Source organism: Homo sapiens, chromosome 5, assembly GCF_000001405.40.
Source record: "Homo sapiens chromosome 5, GRCh38.p14 Primary Assembly".
NCBI lineage: Eukaryota > Metazoa > Chordata > Mammalia > Primates > Hominidae > Homo > Homo sapiens.
Genome location: NC_000005.10, coordinates 181,465,519 through 181,473,704, shown reverse-complemented (window position 1 = coordinate 181,473,704; position 8,186 = coordinate 181,465,519). Strand labels below are relative to the sequence as shown.

General features: G+C 38.6%; 1 pseudogene; it reads right to left on the bottom strand.

The window, feature by feature from the left end:
* On the bottom strand, nucleotides 1,226–1,753 carry RPL23AP45 (ribosomal protein L23a pseudogene 45; annotated as a pseudogene).

Here is an 8,186-nt window from a genome sequence, read left to right as displayed (position 1 = left end):
ATTTACGCCTGATTCATGGCTGAAATCGTGTTTGACCAGCTATGTGTGTCTCTCAATCCAGTCAAGTAGATGTCTACAATTAACCATCAGAATATTTATGCCTGCTTCACGGCTGAAATCGTGTTTGACCAGCTATGTGTGTCTCTTAATCCAGTCAAGTAGATGTCTAAAATTAACTGTCAGAATATTTATGCCTGATTCATGGCTGAAATTGTGTTTGACCAGCTGTGTGTGTCCCTTAATCCAGTCAAGTAGATGTCTAAAATTAACCATCAGAATATTTATGCCTGATTCATGGCTGAAATCGTGTTTGACCAGCTATGTGTGTCTCTCAATCCAGTCAAGTAGATGTCTACAATTAACCATCAGAATATTTATGCCTGATTCATGGCTGAAATCGTGTTTGACCAGCTATGTGTGTCTCTCAATCCAATCAAGTAGATGTCTAAAGTTAACCATCAGAATATTTATGCCTGATTCATGGCTGAAATCGTGTTAGACCAGCTATGTGTGTCTCTTAATCCAGTCAAGTAGATGTCTACAATTAACCATCAGAATATTTATGCCTGATTCATGGCTGAAATCTTGTTTGACCAGCTATGTGTGTCTCTTAATCCAGTCAAGTAGATGTCTACAATTAACCGTCAGAATATTTATGCCTGATTCATGGCTGAAATCGTGTTTGACCAGCTATGTGTGTCTCTCAGTCGGATCAAGTAGATGTCTGAAATTAACCATCAGAATATTTATGCCTGATTCAAGGCTGAAATTTCAGGATGAAAGCTATGAAATCTCTATTTGTGTTTGTATATCTATTAATGTATGTTATGTATATGTGATATTTTCTTAACTCCAGAGAGCATTGCAAAATTCATTTATGAAATCCTCTAAAAGTGCTCTATTCTAACTTGGCTTGGAAAAAAATAAGCATTTATAAATAAATATTCACCAAACTCCTAGAAATATAGGAACTGATCAAATGTTTCTTAAGTTAACATGATTTGGATAAAACTTAGTTAAATAAGATTAATATAGTATTTTTGGTGTAATAAAACAACTATATCTTCAAAATTATCATTATTGAATATAAAACAAGCATAAATTCCTATTCTGCTTGAGTTCTAGTCAAATAAGCTAATATTATACTTACTAGAAATGTAAAATCTTAAAGCTTATAGATTTGATTCTAATTAAGTTGTCATTCTTATGAAAAACATTATTTTTTTATGCTGAAAAAATACACATATATTTAGAGTTAGCCAGCTGGACTCAGTTTAGATGATCCCAATTTTGTTACAACATCGAAAGCATCATAATCAGGAGCAAGTCGAACATATGCCTTGTTCTCTTTATCAGGACAAATCAGGGTGGTGACCTTGGCCACATCACTGTCATAGAGCTTCTTCACAGCCTGTCTGATCTGGTGCTTGTTGGCTTTAACATCCACAGTGAACACAAGCGTGTTGTTTTCTTCTATCTTCTTCCGGCCGACTCAGTGGTCAGCGGAAACTTGATGATAGCATAGTGGCCAAGCTTGTTTCTCCTGGGGGTGCTCTTCCGAGGATATCTGGGCTGCCTCCGGAGTCGCAGTGTCTTGGGCCGCCTGAAGGTGGGTGACATGCGGATCTTCTTTTTTGCGTGTGGCTGCGGACACCTTTCAACACTGCCTTCTTGGCCTTTAAAACCTTCACTTTGGCTTCGGCTTTAGGAGGAGCAGGAGCTTCCTTCGCTTTCGGTGCCGTCTTGTGAAAAGCGAAAAACATTATTTCAAAAATAATTTGTCTACAGTAAATCTGCCTAAGAATAGTTTCCAAAGTACTTTTGGTAATTTTTAACCTTAAAGTTAAGCTAAGTAAAAGATTTGCATTAAATATCTAGACCATTTATAAATAAGATACAATACTAAAACATTAATTACTGAACATAAATAATTCAAGTTTATATACTTTTGGCTTCCTGTTTTTACAGAGAGACTAAAGATATTTTGGCCCGTTAATAAACATGTTTTTTTCTGCCACACTGAGGAATTGTATTATGAGGAAACACATCCCTCTAGATGTTGGGAGATGGTATATTCATACATTTTCTAACCTACTATAGAATGCTAATATATGACAGTTTATAACTGTCTACTTCCTAGTTTTCTCTGGAAAATAAAAGATTACTAAGTATTAAAATTATAATCAATATATGTAAATAAAACTACTAGAAATAATAGAATAACTAGAAACAACTCTATGCAAAGCATGCAAGAAAAGTAGGGCATGTTTCGCAAGTAAAGTAGGTTGCATTTTTTATAAGGAAAACCATACAGAAGATACAAATAAAAAGAGATACCTAACCTTCCCTGTGTTATATTTGTATGGGTAAAATGTTATGTTTTCAGAAATTATATAAAATTCCTGGAAGTTTGTCAATGTCCTCCTTATCCATGCTATGTGCCACTATAGAGTAATGAGTCATAATTCCAATTATTACTTTAAATGTTGTGCCAGGCACAGTGGCTCATGCCTATAATCCCAGCACTTTAGGAGGCTGAGGCAGGTGGATCACAAGGTCAGGAGATCCAGACCATCCTGGCTAACTCGGTGAATCTCCATCTCTATTAAAAATATAAAAAATTAGCCGGGCGTGATGGCAGGCACCTGTAGTCCCAGCTACTCGGGAGGCTGAGGCAGGAGAATGGCGTGAACCCAGGAGACAGAGCTTGCAGTGAGCCGAGATCGCACCGCTGCACTCCAGCCTGGGCGACAGAGCAAGACTCTGTCTCTAAATAAATAAATAAATAAATGTTGTCTGCCACAGAAAAAATCGAATATTTTGGTAGAAACCCCGTCTCTACCAAAAATACAAAAATTAGATGGGCATGACGGCATGTGCCTGTAGTCCCAGGTAATCAGGAGGCTGAGGAGGGAGGATCGTTTGCACCCAGGAGGTAGAGGTTGCAGTGAGCTGAGATTGCACCTTTGCACTCCAGCCTGGGCGACAGAGCCAGACCCTGTCTCAAAAAAAATTTTTTTAAAGGAAAACTATAGCCATTGAGAGTTATCAGATTCTAGTCTTGTTTCTTGTTTCTGGGCTATTTTTACCTCTTTGTAAACTGGATCCTGCCATCTGATGAATTTTGTCCCACAATGATACTTGGGGAACAAGAAGCCAAGTATTGTCTCTCCTACTAATGTATCTATTGTCAGTTAATTTGAAGGTCTCCAACCCTGGAACAAAGTTAGAAGAGGAAGGTTCTACTCCCCAAAATGCATAACCAAATTGTGCTACATTCATGTAATGGAATACTATTTAGCCATAGAAAGGAACAAGATATCAACACACACAAAGACATGAGTGAATCTTGCATGCACATTGCTAAGTGGAAGAAGACAGTCTGAGGAGGATACACACAGTGTGACCTCATTTAATGAGACACTGGGGAAGGCAAACTACACAGATGGGAAGCCATTGGCTCCATGGGGTGGGGGTTTGAGGCATTCCATATGATACTTTAATAGTGGGATATCTGCCACAATGCATTTGTCGAAATATGCAGAATTTTACAGCCAAATGGTTAAAGCAAACTCTATTCAAATTAAATCAAATTACTCAGGATGTGGAGTATCCCAGGACAGAATACATCATGTGAAAAAGAATTTATGCTATAAATTACGATGGTTTGGATGTGGTTTGTCCCCACAAAAACTCATGTTGAAATTTGACTCCCACTGTGTCAGTGTGGGGCGGTGGGGCCTAGTGGACGGTGTTTGGGTCGTGGGGACGGATCCCTCATGAATAGATTAATGTCCTCCATGGGGGTGAGTGAGTTCTGTTCTCACAGGAATAGATAATTCCTGCAGGAGTAGGTAATTAAAAAGAGTCTGGCTTCCTTGGCTTCCCTCTTGCTTTCACTTCTGCTATGTGATCTCTGGTGCACCCCTTGCTCCCCTTCCACTTTCCACCATGAGGTGAAAAAGACTGAGGCCCCGCCAGATGCAACTGCCCAATCTCGGACATTCCAGCTACCAGTATTGTGAACCAAATGAAACTGTTTTACTTATAAATTACGCAGCCTCAGGTATTCTGTTACAGAAGCACAAAATGGACTAAGACACAAATCTAGGTAAAAACTTTGAAAATGAATAGAATCTGTAGGCTGAAGGCACGTGAACTATACTTCATTATTGGATTCCATTTTATAAAGTTCTTTCCAACAGAAGCAATTGTGAACAATTGTAAAACCACAGTGTCTGTATCTGGAGTAAAACAATGACTTACATAAGTCGCAGATGGTGGGAACCAGCTTTCTCACTGTTGAAGTGGGAGGTTACAAATTAGCAAGACGAGAAGGCTAGAATGATTCCTGTGATAGTAGATCAGAGGTGGAGACATCAACGTAAACTTATGCTTAGTTTAATATAGATACACACAGTTCTACATAGAAAACTTTATAATTAGGTGTGTGTAGGTAGGTTAGACACGCACATATGCTTCCTAGCATTGCTAATGAGGGACAAGATACAATGTGCATTCAGCAGCCACATGTAAGTTTTCCCACCATTCTGAAAGGAATCAGGCTCTTTGAAGAAATGTCTGATACTAGAACTGGGACAGTAAATATAGGAGCCAGGATAATCTGGAAGTATCAGAAAGTAAGTACTAAAAAAATTAAAATATATCAAACAAAAATAAAAGCCAATAAAAACAGCTACCGATGGCCAACACAGGAAGGAATTGTGCAACATAATGCTATAGTGTCGAATAATAACTAAAGCTTAAAGTAATTATCTAGGTGTCTGTATTTGTATACCTAGGTGAATAAGCAAATGGAGTTGCATAGAAATCTCCTTTGCAAAAGAATTCCAAATAACTGATGTAGACACTCAGCCATCAAGAAGGTGGAGCCAACTCCTCACTCCGTAAGTGTGGGCTCTGCATAGTGACTTGCTCCAAAAGAACACATGCAGTATGGACAAGGAGGAAAAATAACTTCACAGTGGAGAAATCTGACAAACAGTAGCTCTGCCAAATGATCCAAGTGAACACCAAAGCTGACAGTTCACCTTGAGAACATGAAGTGACAATGGGGGACATTCTACAAAAATCCTGACCAATCCTCCTCAGTGCTATGAAGGTCATCATGAGATGGAAAGCCTAACACACTGTCACAGCCAGGAAGAGCCTATGTGATGACTACATGTCGTGTGGGATCCTGGATGGGATCCTGGGTCAGAGTAAGATAGAACTAAGGGAATCCAAATGAAATATGAACTTTAGTTAATAACAGTCTATCAGTATTGGTTCATTAACTGCGGCAAATTATGTAAGATATTAATAAGCCATGTGAGACACACTGATAGAAGATGTTAATAAGAGAGGAAACTAGGTTGCGGCTACATGGGAAATCTCTTTTTTTTTTTGACGATTTCTGTGTAAGTAAAAAAAAGACGTAAAATAAAACTTTATTTAAAACACTTTTTTTAACACTTCCTTGTTTAATTATTTATACCATGAATTACTAGTAATTGACACTGTTAACTAGTCCTGTTTTTTAAAATAAGAGCAATTATGACACAAAAAATTAAACAGTGCAGACTGATACATAAATCAAATGTTCTTTACATGTTTTCTGTTACTGTAGTAACACACATGTGTAAACTTAATTATCACATGTTTTTCTTGTGCTGTGGTTGTGTCCTGGGTTCATTCTCTAAAATGCTGTTCATCTTAGACCAGGAAAAATATTAACCATACAGACTCTGTTTCAAGTCATAGCTGAATATTTTCAAAAGAGTGACTTTGTAAAAACATGTTCCAATGGCAAATTGATTCATTGTGATGGGATCAATTATTCCAAAGACTTCTTGTCTTTATTTTGTTGCCATGCCTACCTTTTAGCCATGATACAACAGAATCAAATATTGGCCACTGGGAAAAAATATTCAAAGAAAGAAAGAATGTGAACAGAACTTGTGACCACGATGATTCAATGTTTTACCACAATGCTTTCTAAAACAAGAGTCTAAAAGGATATTCAAAGTCAATTTCCTCAGTGAGGCTTTGCAGAAAATGAGGAAACTAGAGAAACAAAAATGGCAGGACATTCTACGGTTGATTTTAAATGTTGCTATGTTTTATGGGAAAAAATACTTTACCTTTTAAAGAATCACAAAGAATTATTGGAAACCCAAACTCTGGAATGTTTGCAAATTTAGTTGAGCTTCTATGTAATTATGTCTATATAGGTAGCCATGAAGTTGATGATTTCTTAAAAATCTGTGCCTTATTTGTGTAATAAAAGACACAATGAATAATTAATACTCATAGGAACACTTACGAAGGGAAAATAAATCTTGGGGACTCAAAATCACTAAGCTAAAGGGAAAAGTCAAGCTGGGAACTGCCTAGGGCAAACCCGCCTCCCATTCTATCCAAAGACACCCATCTGATCACCGAGATAAATGCATACCTGATTGCCTCACGTGGAGAGGGTAATCAGCAATGCAAAAGAATGAAACCATTTGTCTCTTACCTACCTGTGACCTGGAAGCCCCCTGTCTGGCCTTCTCACCTTTCTGGACTGAACCAATGTACATCTTACACATATTGATTGATCTCTCGTGTCTCCCTAAAGTGTATAAAACCAAGCTGTGCCCCGACCACCTTGGGCCCATGTTGTCAGGATCTCCTGAGGAGGCATCACAGGTGCACATCCTCAAGATTGGCAAAATAAACTTTCTAAAAAATCTGAGAGCTGTCTCAGATTTTCAGGGTTCACACATGTAATGTAGGATGTCAATGTTTATAAAAGGGATGTTATTCTATCTACTATTAGAAATATGCTGTCAATTAACCTTAAACTTTCTCAACAAAATAAAAAATGTTGATGAGGTACAAATAATATATCTAAGCTTAAATAGTGTTGCAGGTTTTAATATGCCTACTTTTCAATTTTTCAATACTATCTTTACTAATTTAACACTGTAAGAAAAATGAGTAATTAAAACATGAATAAAAGTGTTTACAGGGGATGCACATGTTTCCTCCAGCCTCTGCCTATACCCAACTTTCATCCCAACTGTCCTGATGGTGGCTCTAAGCATTTCTCCTTTCTCTATACCAAGATCTCTCCCCAGAAACAAACCCAAATCTTACTATATGTTATGGCACGCTATGATGATGAGCAGCGATGAGCAGCCGAAGCCTCAAGGAAGGGATGCTTTTGTAAAACAAGACTTGTGGAATATAACATGTGAAAGTAAAGCCCACGGCAGAGCTCCCTCCTCAGCACACGGGGAGCAGACAGGAAGTTTTTCCTCACCTTCCTCAATGGCCTGCAGCCACGTCTCCCCAGGTCAGTCTTAAGGACAATGAAACTCTGGTCTTCACTGTGGACATGCCACACTACCAGGTGCTCCAAAGCCATGGTGACCCGTCCTCGGGTGGGTCCTGAGGAGAACAAAGCTCTGGTTCTAATCCTAACCCTAACCCTGTCCCAAGACTTTGACACTGAACCTAAATCCTGATCCCTATCCTGGTCCCTAATTCTGACCCTGACTTTGATCTCGACCCTGACCATGACCCCACCTCTAACCATACTTCTGGCCCTGACTCTGACCCAGATCCTAATCCTATCCCTAACCCTATTATTATCTTTACAATCTATGTCTAATCTTACCCTCTAGTGCTAAATAGCTGTACCCAAAAGCACTTTTAAATTATTTAACTTCTTTTCCTTGAATTCTCTAAGGACATCCTAAAGGAGATGTCAATATGTATTTTGCATTCCCTCTGAGTGGTATGGCTTCAGATAAGAAGTTCTAATACTTTGCAAGACATAAAAAGTTTGGAGGGTGACAGCACTGGGTTGTTAGGGATGCATGTTGGCATTCGTGGTAGTCATAGGTGCTGTTCTCCAGATATTTTCAGTTCATATTTTATGAATGCATTCTGACTGTTCCATCCCGCCTACTTACATTTTCACATGGCCACGTGACTTTTTTTTTGCCAATGGAGGTGAGAAGAAATAACATGTGACTTTTTCAGGAGAAATCTCCAAGAAACAGAGTTCTATTCCGCATACTTTTTTCTCTTTTCTATAGCAATGGGGATCTTACTGATTGTCCCTCCTTCCGTCTGGATTCCTGTGTTAGGATGACACAGCACAGAGCTACCTCTCACCTGACCCATGATGAAAT